The 24,707-nt window shown below is 36.9% G+C and overlaps 1 protein-coding gene across 38 annotated transcripts in view, besides 1 other annotated feature; it reads right to left on the bottom strand.

Moving 5' to 3' along the window:
- The window catches only part of DLG2 (discs large MAGUK scaffold protein 2), a 2,173,362-nt gene that overhangs the window by 958,946 nt on the left and 1,189,709 nt on the right, over positions 1 to 24,707 (bottom strand). For 4 of the 38 annotated variants that reach the window (XM_047426505.1, NM_001377973.1, XM_047426503.1 and 1 more), the window contains exon 1: positions 23,431 to 23,849. The exons of the other annotated variants lie outside the window; for them this stretch is intronic. In XM_047426505.1, the coding sequence (XP_047282461.1) occupies positions 23,431 to 23,508 (78 nt within the window). In that variant the 5' untranslated portion in view covers positions 23,509 to 23,849. Of the gene's footprint in view, positions 1 to 23,430; positions 23,850 to 24,707 lie in introns of those variants that run through there. 38 annotated transcript variants of the gene reach the window in all.
- Positions 23,494 to 23,543: an enhancer, noted in NCBI's record as "active region_5357". NCBI's record gives its function as "activates an Ori minimal core promoter by ATAC-STARR-seq in GM12878 lymphoblastoid cells {active_cell/tissue: GM12878}" and the evidence as "EXISTENCE:reporter gene assay evidence [ECO:0000049][PMID:35858748]".

The following is a 24,707-nucleotide window of genomic DNA, read 5'->3' on the forward strand; positions in this document are numbered from 1 at the left end:
TTTTATCATAATAGCAACACAAACTTCAAAGGCAAAACCCAAGCCAATTCGACAAAACACCCATCTCTTATATATGCAGAAAACAATTATATGCAATTTGTACTATGTTCTTCAATTTCTCATCTTTTAATCTATAAGATAGATCATGCTATTGTATACATTCTAGGTCACTTAACTGTTCAGTTTCCTCGTCTGTAACACAAGAATAACAATATTAACCTTTTAAGACTATTGTGAAGATTAAATAAGTGAGCATATCTAAATTAATTAACATAGTATCTGGCAAATGTTTACTGTTATCATTTTATTATAATCATTATTATCAATAAAGTATTCAGGATAGTCTGACTACACTGAACTGTGATAAACTACTTGCTTGTCACAGAAGACAAGATTTACAGGCAGGTAGGTGAATCTGAACTTTCTATTTTTACTATTGCTGCATAACCATAAAAGAAATGGCTTATCTCCTATTTTTGTGCTGTAGGGATTCAATCCACAAACTGCCTGAGGGACGAACTTGGACCATCTTAATAATATACATAGTAAATTCCATTCCGGTTTGTTTTGAAATGGGTATTATATTCGGACTGAACGTTTTCCTCCCTAGATTTTATCTGAACGGCTTACATGAGTATCCTTTGGTCACTCTGTTTAAAGCACATATTCAAATGCAGTATATAATCAAGACTGATCTATCTAATGACACTTGGAGAAAATAAAACAGATATAAAAGCAGTCCTAATATTATGCGACTATTTACAAACAATCTCCCAACTCAGGATGCTGCTGCAAAGTAGCTTCTTGCCACTTCCAGGTTTTAATGCCTTAATTAATTATGGAATGATGTTTAATTATGTATTTTATTATGCATAGCAAATATAAATTACATACCTGATTGTTCACAATTGTATTAAAAATATGTATCCTTTATCCTTGAAAGTGAAAGACCTTTTTCAAGATGGATAAAGCTGTTTGGGGAACAGAGTATGGGTGGAATTAATTGTCCCCACATTAATCATTTATTTTATAAAAATGTGAAGGTCGTTCTCCACTTTAAGACACTTCCTGAATTCCTCTAGCAAGGTCTGGCAGCCAAATTTCAATATGCAAAGCAGAGGATTATGCAATGTGCACTATTATTCCCCTAAAGGCAAACAGCTTTTATTTAATAAAGATGTTATTCTAAGAAGATTTACTGTGGTATTGTCACATATCAGAACTTGTTCTGGAAATGTGATTCTTATTAGTAAGAACAGATGACCTTTCTCTATGGGTAGAAGAACTATGGATGTCATTGCATGCACCTGCTAATTTTCCTAGAATCACAGGGTGTTAAGAATCACAATGCAAAATCCACAGACACCATTTATTAAGCATTCTTTCTGGGAACAAACTATTGCATTAAACACATGATATTATTATCATATTGAGTGAACCATTATGAACATTATGTACAAAGCACTAATATAGAAGTTTTCTATTCATCTTATATAATCTTCATTTTTCCCCAATTTTATAGAAGTATGCCTCAGTAAAGCATTTTTCTGAAGATTATGCCGCTAGATGAAACAACTGCCAGACTACAAAGGCCAAGTTTTTTCATTATCAATGAATGCATATTGTCATAATTCTAAGAATTAGGATTCGTGATTCCAAAGTGGAGATTTGTCATAGGTGTGGCCAGCGCCAGTGAAACACATGGGGCTTCTTCCCAGACCCTCAGGCTTGACTCACTTTTTTGATAGTCAAGATGGTAATCAGTGGGCAAAACACTTGGGCCAGACAGAAATGGACTTCTGGCTCCACTGGTTGTGTGACCTTTTACAGGTCATTTTGTTGCTCCAAAACTCACTTTCTCATCTATACAGCACTGATAATAGTACCTACTTCATATATGCATTGAGAGGATTAAATAAGTTAATCACATGTTGAGTGCTTTGCCTAGGGTGCCACGTATCATAAGCCATCAATAAATATTAGCTGTTATTGCTGTTATTTTTTTCCTCCTTCTCTAATAATTTTAATTACTATTTTGGGTTTTTGCAAACTAATCATTGGCTTCTTTCCAGTTCTTTCTCCTTTCATCTTAATCTCAAATTCTAAATGTGTAGAACCTAAAACATCAAAAGATTAATAAAACTCCCTTCTCCATTTTGTGCTCCAGCCTTGATACCAATATCCTTTCATGACCCTATATTCATAATTTTTTGTTCTATTTAGTTTCTTCACAAGATCTGTCAAAAATAAAGTCCACAATATTACTTCTGAGTAACTTAGAGAGAGAGAAAGAGACTAACATTCAATGCTTCTTAAGAATTTCCCCAACCAAAAAGAAACTGAATGTCACATTTTCCATCCAAGAAAAATCAGTGTTTCCAGAGATGTGTGCTGAGATGTCTATGGATGTACAGCAAAACTGATTTTTTTTCCTTGTTTCCCACTTAAGCAAAATGAAACTGTCTTCTTCAAGCACAGTAATTTAAAACAACAGTAACCAACTCCAAAGAGCATGAATTAGAATGAAAGTTCACTGGGAGCAAGGATGCTCTGAATAACTGACTACTCTGACAAAATAACATATTCTGCTAGATAAGAAGGCAATATCACCTAACGATTAAAAACATGTGGTTTGGGATAAGACATTTTGAGATTTAAGATCCTGGTCTATCACTTAACTGTGTGATCTTAGCAAAGTCATTGAAGCTCCTGAAGCTTGAGTTTCCATATACATAAAACAGTCAAATTGTTCCAACTCATGCACTTCTGCTAAAGATTAAATGAGATAATATAAAGCATTACATTAACACAAGATCTCACACAGTATATGTGCTCAATTAAAAGATTGTTATTATCAACATTATTATACCAATATCAACTTCATAACCATTACAGTAAATAACAGAAATAATGGAATGAAACTAATAAAATAATGCCAAATATTGAATTTTGTGTTTTCTTGGGGAATTGAAAAGAATGGATTGCAATTAGTTTATAATTATTGAAATATGAATTTGGATTCGACGAATACTGATAAAGTAGCCACACAAAAGCCTATTTAATATTTGAGAAAACAGTCACAGAAATGCAGATTCCATGATTAGGCAGCTAGTTGGTGAACAGCAAGAATGTGAAGACAGCAACATAGTGTCCAGCACACAGTAAGGGCTCTGTGATTAGTTACTGAATAAATGGATGGATGGAGATATGCTGTGGTTTAGCGGAAACACTGAATTTAGACTTTCTGATTGTGAACACTTTGCTTGGATTTCTTAATTCACACTTATTATATGATCTATGAAAGTCATTTTAAATGAAATTCAACTTCCCCTCCTATAAAACAGTGATAATAGTATCTGTCCACAGAATTAATGTGAGGTTGAAATGCAACAAGACATGGAAAGTATCTAGCATTATGCCTGGTACATATTAAGTGCTCAATACATGCGAATTTCCTTCCCTTTTCTCCTTGTACTAAAGTCCATCTCTTTCCCAAACTATCACAGCCTTCTTTAAATCATACATAGTCCCTCATCGGTACTTTCCTTTCTCCCCAGTACAATCATCTATTTGCCTTCCAGGTCAGTTTGAAAATCCAAGGCTCTTGATGACTTCGTCTGAGTCTACAGCCATTTGCTAGGGTGCCACAAACACATACCCAACCCTGACCCATGCCCATCTTCTCTGCCCACCTTGCCCCTTTAGTTCTTTAAGATGTCATCTCACAGCCTATCCTCAGCTCTTCATTTCTCACTGGATGCCTCTGCCTTCTTCAAAACAATGACAGAATTCATGAAGACGTGTTTTTTTTCCCCACCATTTTATGTATTATTTTCCTGGCTTTTAAACAGCATTAGAATCTCACTTTATTCAGGAAGCCTTTCTGGATGAAACTTATAAAACTGAACTTCTTTTTGTACACTGTAACACCTGGGAATGGACTTCCTATCTCCCTATCCCTTAACCCGATTATACTCTTACAGTATCTCTCAACGCTAAATTATACACTTTACATGTAATATAAATAAATTCCTTGCTGTCTATTAATATACTGAGTTAAGAGCCAAACTCAATGTCCAAGTTTCTTATAACTAATCTTAAGATAATATGAGTTTGCTCTTTGACCATAACCATTTAGAGCGTAGTGATTGGTTCATATTTCAAAAGCACTTTAAAAGGAGTTTGCATATGGTGCTACCATACGGCAGCACAATTCCTTATTTGTATGTTGGGCTCTTATTCATCTCTGTGTTGCTAATACTTTCCATACATCCTGGCACATAGTAAGACTTACAAGATCCAGAATACAACGTTATTTTCTAGTTTAGTTCTATGAACACATAGGGGCTGAAAAGTCCCAATGTGAAGTGACAGTGGAAAAGATGATAAAAAGAAGAGCAACAATACTAGTCCAGAATAATAGTTGGATGATATATGAAGGACTTTATATACACCATTTAATTTCGTCCTTATACCAAAACCATGAAGGAGGTATCATTATTTTTAGAGATGAAAGAAATGAAGTACAGAGTCATGAAATAACTTACTCAAAATTAAATAATAAACAAAGTCCTGAGTTTGAAATCCTGGTGGAGTCCATGCTTTTAACCATTATTGCACTGTATTTTCTTGTCCAAATGGTTTTTGAATTAGTTATACCATGTCTACCTTCTGTTCATGCAATTAGGTGCTGCTACCTCCTTACTACAGCATGCAAGGCTTTCCCCAATCTGGTCCTATCCTTCCTTCCCAGATGCAACTGTTAGTTCCCTCCTCTATACCCTATTCTCAACCTAGAATAAATACGCTTAGGTTCCCTAAAATGCTCTTATCCCGTTGCTTTCCCTGTTTTCTCACCCTGGAATGCTGTCCTACCCTCTTCTGCCTATCAAAATCCTTTTTCTTCTTTATAATCAGTTAATTTTCCATATTTTCCTTGGAATATTCTCTATTTTTAGACTGGAATGATGTATTCCCTCTTTAGTATATGCAAAACTTTTGGTTTGACTTGGAGACACAAATTGCTTGCCTGCCTCTTACATTAAAATGTAAACTCCTTAAGGGCAAATGTTCTCTCTTATCTGTCCTGGTATACTTAATGCTCTACACATTGCTTGGTAGACACAACTCAAAGTTTTGTGAATATATGAAAAAATACAGAAAAGAGAAGGCGAGAGGGAGAAAAAAGAGGGGAGGAATAGGGAGACAGGCAGAGAGAGAGAGAGATATTATATATTACTCAATTTGGTGGGCTTGTGTAAGATCACTGGTGCTTAATTAACTCAAACTTGTGCTTACTTTGAAATTAAAATCCATTTAAAGTTCTATACATGTTTTCAAAACACGTTTTGTATTCAATAATATCTCCCCAATATCTATCCTTATGCCTGGGAGAAATTACACAAACTAATATAATAGCATTTTACCTTCATAAACATTTATGAGCTGCAATATTAGGCAATCACACCAAGTGCTTACAGAAGTAAAATCTATTTATTCTGGACATCATTTAGAACATCCTGAACATACTGTCTCATATACAAAACAACCCTGAAAAGCCCTTCCATTAAAAACACGTTTGAGAAATGCCGATAATTTTATGATCATTTCTCTTTCAAGACAGACACACAGAAAGAAGGGAAAAAAGTCCTCCGAACTAGACAATAAATTATATCTTCAAAACATCCCTCTATAAGATCCCCACCCCCAGACCAGTGCAGATTTGCAGGGAAGGCTCTGTGCCCCTTTAGTGCGAGTACCATCTCAAGTGTGAGGTAATCCCATTATATTCATCGCAATTAGCCTGTGTCCTGAGCCTCCTGCTGACAAAAGGCTACCCATTTTGCTCCTAATTAAGAGCAGAAAATTCTTCCCAAACTACCTTCATTATTACACACTGCGTGCTTGGCTCTATCAGGCAATACCTTCACATTCTGGAAGAATCAACTACCTCTTTTTAAATTGGAGATAACCACACCAGTGTTAATTATGTCAATTAAAACCTTTTCCTACACTCAGCAGATGAAACTCATTTCACTAGAACAACACTGGGGCTACAGGAAAGAGAAACCTTCGTTACAATGAAAGGTAATTAGAGAGATCATGTTTGCCTTAAAAACAAACACACAGAATAAACAGAAACAGGAGAAAAATCTTGTTCAACCAAAAGAAAATTATCACGTAAACCTTCTTAGTAAAGTATACGGTTACTTTAAAAATAAAAAATCTGAAATGGTGAAACAAGTAAAACTCAGCCAGGTTCTCCTTTGACCATAATATAGCTGAAAACGGAGGAAATATGCAAGACTGCAAGAGCCGCACTTTATGTTAGACAGCAACCTGCTTAGATAACCAACTCTGTGAAGAGACAAGTCCCTTTCTTCCCCCACTCTGAATGGAAAACAGTGGAATTTGAAATACGATATTCCTAAGGATATTTACTGCATTAACAGTCACTGAGAACCACAGGTCACTTTTACTCACTCTGACCCTAGTAGAAAACAGCTGGTTCACTTTATTTCCCCCAACACCCACCAGCATCATCAAATGCCTAAGGCATTGTGTTATTCAAGCAAAATTTCAGGAGGAAAAAATGTATCACGAGGGTGCTTCCAACCAATCAGGCCTTTAGAATGAGATTTAATTTGCCGCTTGTATTTCACTGCCTCAGCACAGTGACCAATGCTTGTTTTCTTTTTTTTTTTTTTTTTTTTTTTTTTTTTTTTTTTTGAGACGGAGTCTTGCTCTGTCGCCCAGGCTGGAGTGCAGTGGCGGGATCTCGGCTCACTGCAAGCTCCGCCTCCCGGGTTCACGCCATTCTCCTGCCTCAGCCTCCCAAGTAGCTGGGACTACAGGCGTGCGCCACCACGCCCGGCTAATTTTTTGTATTTTTAGTAGAGACGGGGTTTCACCGTTTTAGCCAGGATGGTCTCGATCTCCTGACCTCGTGATCTGCCCGCCTCGGCCTCCCAAAGTGCTGGGATTACAGGCGTGAGCCACCGCGCCCGGCCCCAATGCTTGTTTTCTGTTACTCATCCGTAGAAACCTAATCCTCAATGCAGTGGTATTAGGAGGTGGAGCTCTTGAAGTCCTTAGGGTGGAGCCTCATGAATGGGATTGGTACTCTTATAAGTTAGTTCCCAGAACACTCCCTTCCCCTTCAACCTTGTAAGGTTATAGTGAGAAGACAGCTGTCTATGAACCAGGAAGTGAGCTCTCACCAGATATGGAATCTGCTTGTACCTTGATGTCAGACTTTCCAGTTTCTAGAATTGTGAAGAAATAAATATTGTTGAAGCTACCCAGTTTATGGTATTTTGTTACAGCAGCCCAAACTGATTAAGACAGGCTTTTATGGTATATTTATGTCTGCAATTGTCAAAACAGGATCCCAGAGCAGCAAGCGGGGCCAGTAAACTTGTTAAGAATGCAAATTCTTCCCCATTGCAGACCTTCTGAATTTGAAACTCTCTGGGTAGAGTGCAACAATGTGTGTTTTATCAAGACTTCCAGGTGATTTCCATGCACACTAAAGTTTGAGAATACTGTAAACGTCTCCTAAAGCGTCTCCTTGTCTGTACTCTTGCTCATTTCTAATACACTCTCCACATTCTGCTACCAGATAAGTTTTTCTAAAATCTGAATCTGATCTTATCAACCTCTCTCTCACCTTAAAACCCATCAGTGACACTGTTATTCCATCCTCCATCAAATAATTCGTACTATTTAGATAACAAACCAAACCTTTTACCATCTGGCCCCAGCTGACCTAAGCAAAGTCACATCTTCCCATTCCCTTGTGTACCTGCTCTGCTCAGGCCAAGATGAATTTCCTGCAGCTTCATGAAAAAGCCATGCTCTTTGAGGAATCTGTGCTTTGCTCTTTTTCTCTGCTCGGAATGAATCCCTCACCGCTTCTGCCTGTCAAACTTCTTATGTTAAGTATTTTCGAGCATCATCCCCTCTCCGAGGCCTCCTGTGGCTCCACTCCTTTCTGTCTACTTCTCCTGTTGTGCCTACAAATTGTGTTGAGTCTAGAGACCTCTATAACGCACAACTTTGAAAAATACACTTGAATTGTCATGCTATATGGTCGTCCACTCAAACATATCTCTCCCTCACTAGGCGCTTGAACTCTTCAGAGTTGAGGAAGGTACTTGGGCAAATTATGTCTCTTTTATTTTTAGATACTTAAATGAGAATACATTATGCATCTATCATTCATTCTAATTACTACTTATTATAGTGAATGAATAAATGAATTGACTCTGGAGCACTTACTGTATGCAGCACTGTTATGCTCGTGATTTACCTCTAGTATCCCTATTTTACAGATTAGAAAAAGAACAATAGCAACAAAACTGAGCCTCAGAGATCTTAATTATGATGTTTTAATAGCCTACCGCAGTTCTGGGCACATTGGTCATGCTCTTTAAAATTTATTTGATTGTAAGCTATAGCAATGGTGTCAATCCTCTTGAAAAATTTTCTGTCTGAATAAGGGTATGAAGTTGACCATAAAGTCTCTCTCCTTAATGCATATTTAATTCTGGTTTAGATTTGCCAATCAAAATTTATAAAGACAGTTGGAAACTAACTTATCTTTATAACTCATTACGCACATTCAATTTTCCCAATTTTATTCATGATTGGGCACAGCTAAATCATTACAGCAGTTATCATAGTTGAAGTTGTTTTAGTTTAGACCCTCAAATTAATATATACTAAGGAAGAATTTAATTAGCTGAAACCTAAATTGTCATTATTAATTTACTAGTTATATTACAATACCTTGTAAAACATTTATGTTCCAGTAAATGGAGTACCTACTTTCCAGTGACCACATGGCATAGCTAATTTAGTATACAACTAAATATTTAATTACTAATCTTAGTAAAGCTAAAGGTACTTAGTTGAAATTAAATTGTATTACTTGCAACAAAATGCTTAAACATCATGACTCTAGACCTACCCAAAGTCACTTCTCCTGCTTTCTTGTTACAAAATCTTATCAAAGTAGTAATGGAAGTTGAAAGATTTATAAGTATTTCTGAAACATTCTCAGAATAACTGTAAAGGGTAGATGGAACTATTGTAAATTAGTCAGCACATTTTATGGCAAGGTCAAATGGGGAAGGTCTGAACATTTTTTCATTAATGTTAATATTCAGAAGGGTACAGAGTTTTCATTTGGTATGATGAAAATTCTAGAAATGGATAGTGGTGATGGTTGTACAACATTGCAAATGTATTTAATGCCCATAATTCTTCACTTAAACATGATTAAAATGGCAAATTTTATATTATGTTTATATTTTATCGCAATAAAAATAATACATTCAGGTTTGATAACTAAATGATATTTTGTCTCACTTAGTACACTAAGATACTTAATAGTTCGACTTAAATTCAACTGTGTCCATGTCATGCCTGGCACTTGTCTACTGTAACTGATGTGTTAAAAAATAAAATCCCAACCAACCTACTTTATCTTTTTATCATCTAAGATGGACTACTTCACAGACTTATGAAGTATTTACTCAATCAATAATGGAAATGTATAAAATCCCTAAACACATCATATTCATCACACTATGTTGCAATTGCTCCTTTATTGTTGTCTTCCTCATACACTGTTGAATGTTGAGTACTGAATAGGCCATGTTCACCATCACATCCCAGCTTCTCAGCATACTGTGAGGTAGCTCTTAAATGAATTCATTTATAGATTGTTTAGATTATCTTTTAATTACTCAAAGTTAGTGTCCAGTTTCTTTAAAAAAATAGTTCAGAAAGACATGTTCTTTGCTCAACTAGTGATTCAATTACATAAATTATAAATAGGTGTGACATGAAAACATACATAGGCAATACACATTCAAGAACATACAATGTTAATCATAAATGCAACAGTAAGCCATCTTCTGCTATTTGAATGTACTTACCTCCATTAAACATTAAACAGTCCATAAATGCAGAAAAACACATTGAAGTATCTATATAATTGAGCAACAAATAGTGATGCTGGACACTGACTTATTTTCAAAAGCAGAACTGGTGCTTTAGGGAGACAGAAGTCTATTATACTAATTAGAGGCCATTGCCCTACCTCCACAGATGATGCTCTCTTGGGTAGATATCAAAGCAGACACTCTTGAATAGATGCTTTTCAAGTTAATGACTCAACAATCAAATGACAGTAATCCTAGTATCTCTGGTAAGATCAACTGCTTAAATCAGAGTCACCTTCCAAAAGTACTGCTCAGTGACAGTGAAACTCAAGGTTGCTATATTAGGGCAGAAATGTGCTTGCCCATCCATGCTGATATTGTGGAGCATGTGATTACAAAGTTGTTCAAAATAGTCCTACTACAGGTCAAAATCAGAGGCAGAGAATGACATGAAATAGTTGGCCAATTAGCTGAGAAGCTCCAAAGAATTGTATGCACCCCATAATATCTTTCTTAATGACTTGTCACATTATATTCATTTAAAAAAAAACTTAGGTAATACCTGTTATTCAAAAATATTTACTCAATTCTTATAATAGTGCCTATGAGACAGGCACTATTATTCTCATTTTATAGATGAGGAAGCACACGAGGTTTAAGTAACTTGCTCAAAGTTCCACAGCTAGTAAATGGCAGTGCTGGGATTTGAAACAAGGAAACCTGGATCTAGAAACCATGTTCTTAAATACTCTACTTTTATGTATCAATATATTTTAATAGAAGTATTAAAAATAAGAACAGTTTCTTTAAGGCATTTTTTGGGGTGGGTAGAAGGACATTATGGACATTCACATGTGCTTCCTAAGAATGTAATCAAAGCACGTGTGTTTTATTCTAATCTTGGAGAACAGGGCTCAGTGAATGAATGATATACCAGGTGGTGTGCAATCAGGCATGATCACAGAGCTCAAGAATGTTAAGATTCAGCAAATAAGCAAAGAGGGTCTGGGCAAGACAGAATAAATAAGAGGGAAAAACTGGCATATTGTTTACACTGTTTAAGCAGTATAGAGTTTGCTAAGTGTTTGCCTTAATTGTGTATGCTTCTTTTTAGATTTTTCCAATCTATACCTAAACTTCCCTAGGATAGGGACCATAGCTGGATCATTTCTGTATCCATGCATCATTGTAAGTCCCAGCACAGTATTATTAATATTACTGTGCAAATAAGTATTTTTTAATACCAAGGGGCAAATGAGTATTTGTTGAATTGTTAATTGACTTCAAAGGCTGCAGATGATTTATTTACCTGAATTTTATTTTCCTGGGGTCAGTCTACAGTCAACCTGGAAAGATAGAGAAGATATGACTTTCAAATTGTTCAGGACAACTACATAGGTGATTTTAAGAAACTGGAGAATGGAAAGCATTATTTAATCTGGATTGTATTGGAATTTGCTTTCTAAAAGGCATAGTGTAGCTGATAACTGCTAACAAGCATTATTCATCATACTACATTTTATCCTGCTTTTTTCAAAACACTCACTAAAGAAATGACTACTGCTAAAGGAAATTCTTACTTGTGTATTACAAAAGCCATTTTCATAAAGCCTTTGTAAATTCTACATATACATAAAGAAAAACATCAACTTTAATAAAATAATGGATATTTGAACTAAACATGATATTCAAAATGTTATACTTGGGAAGTTAACGGAATGCTATATGCTGAGATAACAAGAGACAAAATCATCCTACAACATCCCCTATCCTTCATAAATTAAATCTGAGAACATTAAAAACAGTCATAACAATGAAAAGGATTACTTATGGAAAGAAAACAGAAAAGAGAAAGTGGTTAGTGAAGATATTTGCCTCTGAAGATCTCAAAACTGTGCATCCTAGAGCAGAGGTAATAAAAATTGTTATTTCTAAGAAATAGATCCAAAGTGACTCCATTCAATTCACAGCAGGAACATTCAAAGTAGCAATTAATGCAACCACTGGTGTGGAATTGTTTTCCAAATGCCATCCTGTTGGGTGACTTTTTTGTTGTTGTTGTTGTTTTTTAATGGAAGCAGGGCACTGAAGACATGGTAAAGTCACATCAATTATATAACTGAAAATTTCATGAAAGATTATCAATACCACCACTCAAAAATATGAATATAACCAATAATACTTTTGGTTAAATGAAAGAGGAACTTAGCAGGTACTGTTTACCAAAGACATTAATGGTAGTGCTTGAAACTCCTCAATATTTGATCATGAGAAATAAATGTAGGGGCGTACATCTTAGTGGCGCATGAAGCCAATGAGGCCGAAGTTTGGAATTGCGAATATCTAGGTTCAAATCCCCAAAACTTGGCCATCAATATTGGGGAGATATTGGACCAAAAAAATTCCTAAACCTCATATTACCTGGGGACTCAGCTTACTCATTTGAAAGGCATGAGAAGTTACTGTAGCATCATGGTTAAGAATTTGGACTCAGGTCCAGATAGCTTGGGTTGAAATCCTGGCATTAGGACATGCTAACTGTGCATCTTTGGACATATTAATTGACCTTTCTTTGCCTCATCTGTAAAAATGTGGATATAATAGTACTTTGCATATAGGGCCATTGTGAATATTGCTAAATTAGAACACATAAAATCATAGAGTAGTGACTGGCCCATAGTAAAGACACAATAAATGTTCATTAATGTTATTATTATTATCTACGAAAGGAAGGTCCTTTCTAGTTTTGAACTTCAATGTAACATTGCATGGGACTCTTTTCTCTTTTTTCCCAAGACTTGAAATAAAGCAACAAACGTCAAGTGATACATTTATCAGCTGGAAGATAAGCATCTTGAGTCATTCAGCACATAATACTTCCTTTCAAAGGAGAAGTGATATGTCTTAACTGGCACTCACGAAACAGGGAATCCCTCTCTTAAAAGTTGGGTGGTATATTTTGAAAGAGAGAATGTATGGGAAAGGCTGGGAGCAGGGGGACAATATTTTATAAGGAGGATCTAGAAAATTATTTAAAAGGAAATAAAAACCTAGAACTCTCTCAGAGTCATTATACTAACAATTCCAACTAGTTAAAGAAAGATGTTCTTCTTAGTCATTTTCTGCCTCTAGCCAAAGACAGAGATATAATTACACACCTCCTCATTTTATAAAACCAGGGTGACAGAGAAAGTTCATTCGGAAGCCCAGGGGGATAGTAGAGTAAGAGGCATCATTGGTGAAGAGGTAAAGCAGAACTATTTTTCATTCTTTCTAGAACTAGGCAGAATATTTAAATGAATGGTAGGAAGAAAGGAAAAAGGGAATGAAGGAAGGAAAGAAGAGAGGGAGGGAGGAAAGAAAGGAGGTACGGAAGAAAAAGTTTTTACAATAGGTAGATTCTTCACATGCAGTTTTAATTGAATCATAAACCCATGAAAAGGTGGTTATCACCATTTTTAATACATGAGAGCACTAATAATCAAAGAGGTGCAGTCATTTGCTCAAGGTCACCCAACCAGTCTTGAAGCCAGGTCTACAGTCTTTCACTGCCTTACTGTTCTTGGGTGGTGTGCCAATAAGAGGATTCACAAAATGGGTAAAGGACAGAAGTCAACGAAGATGACAAAGAACTTTTACAGGAATCTTGGGGAAAAAAATATATAGGAAAGTCAGTCCTATGCCAGGATAATGTCCAAATAGGAAAGGAACAAGAAAAAGACTTATTTTTCTCAATCTTCTTAAACTTTCCCAAGCACTGTCCCTCCTTCAACTCCCCTAACCCCAATATACTTTTTTTCCTTTCCACAGAAAATACATTTTTACCCCTCCCATGCTAGGGAATCACCAAAATGTCTGTCAAATCACATAGATCTGCACTGCTAACAAGCACAGGAATACCACGGACCTCAATACCTCTAACAGTACTTGTTTTGTCATTTCTTGCTGCAAACCCTGGTGAAAAGTTACCAGCCCTTCTGATAGTAGGAACTTTCTCCAAGACTAGCTTGTGAGGAACAGTGAATGGTATGATAGGGAAAATCAATCAATTGTTTGTAAATCAGTGTGACCTAATGTAACAAGTAGGTGTGGAAGAGAAGAAAAGTATTTTGTGAGTTATATGTATTTTTTGTTTTATCAAGTTTGTTGGGTGAATAGTTTGCATTCATTTTGCCTCCTCTGTAGCTTAGACAACTATAAAGACAACCAAAGCTATCCTCCAAAAGCATTTCATTCATTCCCCTTACCCTCTACTTCTCCTTTTTAAAAAATATATTACCATTTTAAATAACCTCTCATAGCTCCTTCAAAAGATTGAGTGGTGTTAACTCTGCTGAATCCATGTGTTTATCAGAACTTACATATTTTGAATAAAAAAGAACACTATTTCTACCCGGTGTTGATAGGCTGGCCTTGGGCACTAAAAACCACTCCTTATTAGACATCATCATATATATCTACAATGGTGGGAGGTGGTATAACAAGCCCTTAGCTTGGGCTGCCATAACAAAATACCAGGTATTAGGTGGCTTAAACAAAAGAAATTTATTTTATCACAGTTCTGGAGACTGGGAAGTATAAGATCAAGGTTCTATCAGGGTATGGTTTCCAGTGAGCTCTCTTTCCCTGGTTTGCAGACAGCTGCCTTTTCTCTGTGTCCTCACACAGTGGAGACAAAGATGAAGAAATCTGTCTCTTCCGCTTCTTACAATGCCACCAAGCCTATCAGATTCAGACCCCACCATTATGGCCTCATTTAACCTTAATTACCACCTAGAAGTCCTATCTCCAAATACAGTCACACTGAGGACAAGAGCTTCAACATATGAATTTGGGGAGGTCACAATTCAGTCTGTAGCAGGTGGGATGGAGATTCTCTAAATAACTGGAATTTTAGGATTGAGAGTGTTCAAACAATAAACATTTCATCCTCAACTATAAGCTTGTAATGATATGGCATGTGGGATAAGGCAGCTGGAAAATTTTAGTTTGATGTCATTGTTGGTGGCTGAAGAAGACTCTGGCTTTATGCTAGTTACTGTTTGTTTTACTTCAGTGTTAGTGGCATGGAGGGTGAGAAAGGAAGAGAACCAAAGCCTCAAACGCAATGCTATAAAATGCCTCATAATTCCTCTTTCTCCAAAGAAAAAAGGCATTTGAAAAAGAAGAGCCCCTGAGCATTTTTCATCTTGCTCTCACTTTGAAGGTGGACAGAGTCTCCTTTACATTCTTCTTACTAATGGTCAAGGAAGTTCCAGACCTTTTGTGTATAGTCATTTGGCATAAATGTTCTGTTTCATCTAGTGCTAGGCGTTTTGCTAGGTGCTGAGAATACAAAGACAAATGAGTACAAATCTTTCCCTTTAAGGATTCTGCAGTCTTATAGAAAATCAGAATTAGAATCAAAAAATGTTTGAGTGGGGAGGAATCTGCTTGCAGATGAACTCAGGCCCATGAAAGCTTGGACACTTAACCAAGGTGGCACAGGTTGTGGGGCAGAGCCAGTTAACACCCAGGCCTACTGACCTCTAATCTGGTCTTAATTCCTATACTTAATACAGCTGAGAGTGTCCCATCCAAGTGAATCATCCAACCAGGGTTCATTTAGGACCTTATAGATGCTAGGTGTCCAGACCAAATAGGACAGAATTTATAATGGTTTAATAATTAAAGATTTAATAAGATATTTGAGGAAATAAGACTACCTCAGATATAAGCAAATACTACGAGGCATTTTTTAAAGCGGGATGGCTTCTCTAATAGCCTCATTCCTGCAATACATGTGCAAATAAAACATGCAGATTATCTGATTATCAAATTTATCTTTACAATGATAATCATGCTTAAATTAATCTTGCTGTGTTGGAGAATGTCTCCTTTCATCTTCATTTTCCAACGTAATATCACTCAACAATATCAGGTAGAGGAATATCATTCTAAAGTTATATTAAGAAAAAAATGCAATTAAAGTTTTGTAAACTAGACTGAAACAAGGCTATCTGGATACCTGGTTTCTGAAGGACCATAACTGAGAAGTCAGGTCTCATTTCCAGCTTATCTCTTCTCCATATCAGAGGTCCATCCAACTGAAGGTAGGTTTAAAGAAGAACATAAAATATGAGTTGGGGCTAGGGTCACAGGCTGTAGATTCAGTAAACCTGTTCCTGAATGCTGGCTCCACCACTTGTGACCTATGGCAAAATCCCATAACATCTTATACCTTAGTTCATCTATGAAATGCAGCTAATAGCCAGGCACAGTGGTTCACACCTGTAATCCCAGTACTTTGGGAGTCCAAGGCAGGTAGATCACAAGGTCAGGAGATCGAGACCATCCTGGCCAACATGGTGAAACCCCATCTCTACTAGAAATACAAAAAAAATTAGCTGAGCTTGGTGGTGGGTGCCTGTAATCCCAGCTACTCAGGAGGCTGAGGCAGTAGAATTGCTTGAACCAGGGAGTCGGAGGTTGTAGTGAGCCGAGATCGTGCCACTTCACTCCAGCCTGGCAACAGAGGGAGACTCCATCTCAAAAAAAAAAAAGAAAAGAAAAAAAAAAGAGAAGGAAATGCAGCTAATAAGAGTACCTCAGAAGGCTGTAGTAAGAATTAAATGAGATGGTATGTGTAAAATACATGTAATAATGCTCGAGTAAACTGCTTAATAGTCATTCCTACAACTAGTCACAATTTTACAGTGGTTTTGTGACCAACTATCTTGCCCTCCAGCCTACTCCTGCCTTCCTTCACTTTGGCCATTTCTCTGATCCTGCCCTTTGTCTACTTTCCCTGACCTTATAACAGTTGTGCTTTTTGCTCTGCCAGGGTGGGCAGCAGTTCTGGGACCTCAGAACAGGTGCTACTGTCCATTTTGCTGCTTGATTCACCTTCCAGGTGACAGAGGAGAACTGCAGCAGGGCTGCGTTCAGCATGGACAAACACCTGTCCTCTCTGTCACCACAGCTAGGCAGACACTGGCGCTGAGTCATGCTGCTGCTCACAACTGAGGAGCTTTGAGAGACTCACAAGCCTCTAAGAAAGGGATCTAAGAGGACAATCTGTTCATCCTTCTCTCCAGGTCAGACCACTCTTCAATCTACTATGAGGCAAAAATAGAAATAAAATGATCACTGAGGACTGGTGAATCTTCAATATCAGGACACTACTTATGCCTGAGATAAATTTCAGATTTTGCATTTAATTTTTAAAATTTATTTTTCACAGGAAAAATAAACTTAGTATCTAACTCATCATAAACCTACATGATTTTATAAACATAGTATAATATGTATTACACATAACATATATATACACACACAATATATAGTATACGCAAACATACAGAAGCAGAGTATTATCTACCAGTGAGGAGATCAAGGTCTAGAATCATACAGGATGTCTAATCATAGTCACCTACTGGTGATATGTTTTCTCTCTAAAAACTAGTAGTAATAATCTCACTGGGTCTTTATATTCACAGTTCTCAGCTCATAGAACAAATTCAATAAATATTAACCATTGTTGTTTAGACATATAAATATATAGTGGGAGTCTGGAAGGCTTCTTAAGTTTTCTCTTCTGCAATCTAAATGGTTCCAGTTTGATTATATCTTTTAATTCATTTCATAATGTTAATTTTCATTTTTTTCCTTTATCATTTACCTTCCTAAATTCAGAATAGGACACATAATATTTGTTGAGTCTGACTGGCACAAGTCAAAATATATGATATATCTCAGTGTTCCATATAATACTCTGTATGAAAACTATTATTAATATTACCAGATAAATAAAAATAATTTGATAGCAAGTATAATATTTTAAACACTTTATTTATATTAACTCATTTTATCCTCAAAGTAAATCATTCATTCTTCACCATTATGTCATATATTATTAATTCTAAGAATAAATATTTTTCACTTTTTAACACCTGTGAAATCAAGATGCATCTTGCAATTCATGATGTGTTATGGTTTCATTGGCAATCTTTTTTTTAGTAATAGATGAAATAATGACACATCTCAAAATTGATGACAACTTCAAATCAATTAAATATCATACGAAAGACAACTATGTGTCAAGCATTCTTTTAGACCCTAGAAATATGTTGAATAAGATTGAGAAATCATTCATTTCAAATCTACTGAGGATTGTAGAAAAATGAAGATAATTACAACAAATGCACAAGTTGCTGTGGGAGCTGATGATAGATCCATCCTGGGCTTTAGAGGCCAAGAAAAGTTTCCTAGTGATGGTGATGTCACCTAAGGCTAGAGTGGAATAAGTGATGGATACAGCCAGGCTGTGATTAGCTGGTTAGCCAAACAGATTAAGCAAAATCCTGGAAGCTAGAGAGAGCATGGGCCATTTAGGGATTTGAAAGTAGTTCAGAATTCTGGATTTAAAGTGCTGATAGAAGAGGTACAAGGTATGATGACAGAGAGGAAAGCAGAGGCCATATCATGATGGGTTTTGTAGATTATATTAATGGTTTGAACACTGTCTTGAGGACATTGGAGATCTACTGAAGCATAAATGTTACTTCTATTTGACAGATGAGAAAACTGAGGCCAGAGAAACCAAGTGACTGACTTCAGGCTGGATAGCAAAGAGCAAGGCTAATTTAATCCCCTCCCTCTAAATCCTTGCCTGAAACCTGGTGCCCCTTATATTCTACTAAGATCACCAGGACATAATTCTCTTTCCTTGGTCCTACTGCCAGCAAATGTATTACTAGTTTATCCTCCATTTTAGTTTTTGTTGAATTAATGTGTTTGGTTTAGACAAGGGGGAGAGTAGAACTAGTGTGCTGGTTTTTAAAAAGTTTTCCAAGGTGGGCCAGGCATGGGGGCTCACACCTATAATCCCAGCACTATGGGAGGCTGAAATGGATTGCTTGAGTCCAGGAGTTCGAGACCAGCCTGGGCAACATGGTGAAAGCCCATCTCTACTAAAAACGCAAAAAATTAGTCAGCTGTGGTGGCACATGTCTGCAGTCCCAGCTACTCAGGAAGCTGAGACACGAGAATTGCTTGAACCCAAGAGGCAGAGGTTTCAGTGAGCTGAGATCACATCACTGTACTCTAGTCTGGGCCACAGAGTGAGGCCCTGTCAAAAAAATTCAAAAAAAGTTTTCCAAGGTGAGTATGGCCTAATGTCAGGATATGTGGGGTTGGTTACATCACTCATAGGTTATAAACTGCCAAGCTCATCTACAGGTGTGTCTGTTAGATTATGAATATTGATACTAGTCTTTCCTAAATGCATCATGAAAGTACTTTTCATAATGTGCACTAAAAAGATAAATATAAAAATTAAAACAAAACAAATGAAATAAGCAATATATTGCTGACGGGGAAGTGAAGGTTCACAAGTTTTGGTATTTTAATACTCTTGTATATTACTACGTAACCAGAAATTGCACTTTCAATTTATCTTAAAGATTCTTCAACTGGCCTTTTAGAGTAAGACAATCTGGAGATTGTCTAATTAAGAGATTTAAGTTGAAACGTGACAACAGGCATACAAGTAAGATACTAACTTCTGAATTACTTACACAGGGTCAAAACAAAGAAGAAAGGAATAATTATTTGAATGGAGGTATTCTATCCCAGCCAGGCAATCTGGATTTCACATTATCACTTTTAAAATAATTTTATTCAGAGAATTTGTTGGTACAAATGAACTTTTAAATGAAAGAATAACAAAGAATCTCTTATGTAGCTTATTTAGAAAAATGTCAATGTGAATCACCTAACATCTTTGACTTTTTTCAAAAAGAGAGCACATGTACAATTGCCAGGCATTTAGGTCCTTTTTGATTAAAGACATTTTTGGATTCTATAGGAATAAGCAATGAGTACAAATGCCAACGTTAAGGTTAAAATGATATGACAATTAAAAGCTATTCAAATAGAATAATAGGTGTCCCAGCATGGTGGCTCATGCCTGTAATCCCAGCACTTTGGGAGGCCAAGGTGGGCAGATCACTTGAGCTCAGGAGTTCGAGACCACTTTGGGGAACATGGGGAAACCTCATCTCTACAAAAAAATACAAAAATTAGCCGGGCATATTGACACACACATGTGTTCCCAGCTACTCGGAAGGCTGCGGTGGGAGGATCACCTGAGTCTGGAGAGGTTGAGACTGCAGTTTAAGCAGTGATTGTGCCACTGTACTCCAGTCTGAGCTACAGTGAGACTCCATCTCAAAAAAAAAAAAAAAAAGAATAATAGGTGACAAAACAAGTTTGCTACACTTAACCAATGATAGAGGACAAAGAATGTAAAATCTTTAACAACATGAAAGAAAACTGTTTATTCAATATAGTTTATGTATAGTCTTATCTGAAATAAAGAGGTTGAGTTACACAATCAGTAACTTTGATTCTGTAAACATTATCACTTTGAAATTCTAATATAAAAGAGAGGGACAAGATAAGAAAAGATGAGTAACCTTATTCAGACAAGACAGATTAGTGGATCTAGAAGAATGATGAGTGGAAGGAAGAAGGCGCTAGAGACACAAGGAGTCAGTTTTGGAATACCTTGGGCTGACTTGGTGCAAATCCCAACACTGAGACTTACCACTAATCCTGTGACCTTGGGCTAGCTACTCTTCTCTCTAGGATTCAGGAAAAATAATTTCTATTTAATAGGGCTGTTGTGATAATTAGATTAAATTTTATGTATAAAGAAGCTAATGTATAAGCTGTATGGAGATTACTATCATTAATATTATTATTGTTGTGAGCATTATGATGGTCATTTTGTGATGCTACTGAGTTCTAGTGACATTAGCTGAGGCAAAACAGTAGACAAGACAACTAGTAATAAGTCACACTGAGTGTTTAGGATGGCATTTAGTCTTGCATGTTCCTAATTATTAAGAGCTTTTCAATTAACCCCAACCTTGAGGAAAATACTTTTCAGTGTTAAAATAGAAGTGAAGGGCTATGGTGAGTTCAGGTTGTTTTATTAGAGTGTGAAGAAATAAACTGTCACCTACTGAAAAAAAAAAAAAAAAAAAGAAAAGCCCAGAATTTATAGAGGGTACTAAAAATCACAATCATTGTCCATTGTAAAGATATATCTCCCCAAATGCTAAAATATGATCTTTCACAATTAAGTATACTGGTCATTTTCTAAACAAAATTCAATAATAATCTTATTTTATACATCTTCTTCCATCTGTTGATAAACCATGGCAACATATCGTTAGTAGCACTTTACATGCCCCACTGTTTTGCAACTATATGATCTTTGATATTATAGGAATACATTATGTAAATTAATTCAGCTTGTTGTATTATTTGTTAACTGTCTTCTCAGCTAAAGTACATACTGAACCCTTAGAAAAAAATTAATTTAAAATTATAGTTTTAAATAAGCTATGTTATAAAATTAGGTATACAAAATAAATGAACTATTTCCATTCACCAGGCATCGACTGAGTGCCTACATTTTTTGAGGCAACACACCTTTTAATTTATTTCAGGAACTCTGTGAATACAAATTCCATTAAAAAATACCAAGATGTTATTTCATGTTGCTTATCATGACCTAATGTTCAAAATTAACTCCTCCTAGCTCTCTTCCTAGCACAAAGGCAGTAGAGTTGTTATTTCCTTTGGTCTTTGTCACTCAGAGAGCAAACCTTCAGTTCTCTAATGTAGATTTCCTGATGTAAATGTATCTTACTCTCTGAGTAAGGTAATTAAATAATTTGAACCCTTAAAATCAAACTTGGTTTCTTCTGGCTTGTTTTAAACATTAGCCATCACAGAAATGGATGGGACAGATTGAAAGCCCCTTACTAGCTCCTTAAGAAGCAGAAGCTCAGATTACTTTGTTGTATCAATGTCTTTTTAGGTTCTATACACTGAATTTTATAGAGCTGCTATTTCCTACATTTGGGTCCAGGCTTGAAATAAGTGCTTCTGGGAGATTCAACTTTCTTTGCATACTAATTTGGCATAAGACATTATCTCCCAGTGGCTGTCAGAGCCATTTATGGTCTCTGACAGTTCTCTCATCCATACAACTTATAATTTTTATAGGAAGAAAGGACTTTTCTAAAACATTTGTTCCAATAAAAGACCCACTTACAAGTCTCTTTCCTGCAAAATTACTTGAAAGTCAAAACAAAACACAACCTCAAAAGCCAACTGTTCAATATATATGATACTAGTTGACACATAATAGTTAGGCTTGTAATCTTTTTATCTGGGCTATATAGAGTGGAGAAGAGACCAATTCCAGCCCAATCCTCCCCTCCCTCATCCACCAAAAGTGTTATTAAATAACAAGTCAGTTACGTTCTAAAATTGTCAGATCTGGACATTATAAGAGGCTCTAAAGTCAGAACCCCAGTGATATTTTCTCTTCTAAAGCTAAAAAAATTCGTATCTTGGTTCATCACTGGATTCTTGTTCATTTTATCATTTCCACTCTGAAGGAATGAATAGCAAGTTATAGTGAAGGCATCTTTCTAGGTGAGAGAAAACACTGTGCCACAGGCCAGGAGAGCCATCTCTGGGTCAATCTCATGAGTTTACATAAAGCAGTAAAGATACTGGGCTGAAGATCATATCCTCAGAGGAATATGAAAAATCTGTTTCACAAGATTTTGTTACCTTTGGAAGTTTCCCCAATGCCTACCGCATTGGATATTGATTCCCTAAATATGACAGTTTGGACAGTGCCCCAGAAAGCACTGGAGAATTAGAGATGTAAGCTATCATCTTCTGTTATCTCCAAGCATGTAATATACCTTAGGACTTACAGGCCATTTTAATTTCTCAGGGAAATATAACTAATTAGGTAAGTCTACACAGAGATTCTCTGGAAATGACTGGTCATGCTGAATACAAGAAATGCAAATCTATTCTTTAAATGGCCACAACTACCTGATTATAAATATAATTCTTGCTCATTGTGAACACTTTTGAAACGATGGCTTAGTGATAAGATACCAAGCACCCCTGTAGAGTCTGGTCAACGTTACTGAGAGTCCCAGATATATGTTCCTAGGACACACACTGTAACACATGTACTAGAGAAAGGCTCAGGTATTTATAACGCCCACTTCAGAACCAAAGATCACAATAATAAAAATAATGCAGTACAGCAACAAGTTTACTAGAGAGCTCTCTGAACAAGCATAAACTGCAGCTGCTCAATTGCTTTCATCCTATGTAATTTAAAGGAATCTTAAGTCTCTGTGAAGACACTGTATCAGTTGATGATTTCACCACGCATTTTGAATAGCCAATGATCTTGCTTAACCCTTAATGCTCCCCTCCCAAGCAAGCTAGGCTCTAAGTGTTACCCCTTTTCATAGTGGCAAGGACCACATTCACAGTGAGAGGCAGGTTCTCACTCCAAGCAAATAAAGACTGCGTCTGTACTCAGACCAATGGTCCAGAGCAGGCAGTTGGCAAACCGGAAAGGTAATTTTCAACCCCACTCATTCCATACCTTCTCTGATTTCGCCTTCCTGGCATTGTGCACGAACCTGCGACCCAGCTTCTTAGCATACCAGATAGAGGCAAACATAGCGATGCCAATGGAAGGAATTCACAATGAAGCTGCCGCACAATCAACTTCCCACCTCGGCTCAGAGACGAACAGAATCAGGCTGGAGCTGTCACTTGCAGGCTGTTGCTTTCTCAGTTCCTCTCATGCTGGTTAGCTGAGGGAGAGGGTGGGAGGAGGGAGGGGTTGGGGGAGAAAAGGCAGTCCTGTTTGGCCAGTCTGCAGGTATATTTACATCCTGCCAGCAGGAGGTCCGGGTGAGGCAGGCGCTGCCTTTGTAGCCAGCTCACACACATCCAGTTGGCTAAGTATTTGTCTGCAGTTCTTCGGCACCGGCACCGTCGCCACCAAACTCCATGTGTGTCAGGAGGAAGGGAAGCTGCAGTCAAGTCCGGAGGCAGCTCACCTCCCTCTCTAGGCTTGGGCAGTTACAATCCTCGCTTTGGCTTCCCTCTATCTTGACAGTACGTGCTGGCGGCAGTGGCCACATAAAGACAGATCCACATACAGCCTCGCAGGTAAATCAGCCAATACAGGAATTGCCAGGCATGGGGAAGAGAGCTGCCAGGCAAGGGGAGAGGCAGAACCACCATGAATCTGCCCCTGCAGGCACAAACAGGTGTCCCTGGAACCCAATCCCACTCATATCCTCCAAGAGGACTAAGAGGACTATCAGGGCTGTTAGGGTGACTGGAAACACAAGCATCCTTCTCTTTTCTCCTCCCCAGCTCCATTTGGTCCAAGGAATATCACTTCTCTGCCCACCAGCCAGCCTTATCCACAACTTACAAGGTAAACACTTTATTTCTTTAGAGAATGGCCTGGGACCAAGGGCAAAGTGAGCAGGATGAAGTCTCCTCCCAAATGCCTGAGTGAAGGTCCGTAGTTTTAGAAGTCATTAGTTGTACCTGTAAAAGAACTGAGGCCTCTATTACAGGACGATTTTTTGACATAGTTACTGGAGGATGGACAGGGGTTCAAATCGAGTGTTAAACTAAAAAGAGCAAACTACTCTTTTTAAAAAAAATAAAAAATAAAAAATAAAAAAACCCAGGTTTTCTTGTAGTGACATCCAGTGTTCAGTGGATGACTGAAATATCACCTTTGGGGAGGTAGATTTATGGCAGCTTTTAAATCATGCTCCTTTGAAGAATTTTCACATTTGATTCTAACATTAACTACTTCCATTATCTTATTAGAGTTTAGACTATTATGTGAGG

Source organism: Homo sapiens, chromosome 11, assembly GCF_000001405.40.
Source record: "Homo sapiens chromosome 11, GRCh38.p14 Primary Assembly".
Taxonomy (NCBI): Eukaryota; Metazoa; Chordata; class Mammalia; order Primates; family Hominidae; genus Homo; species Homo sapiens.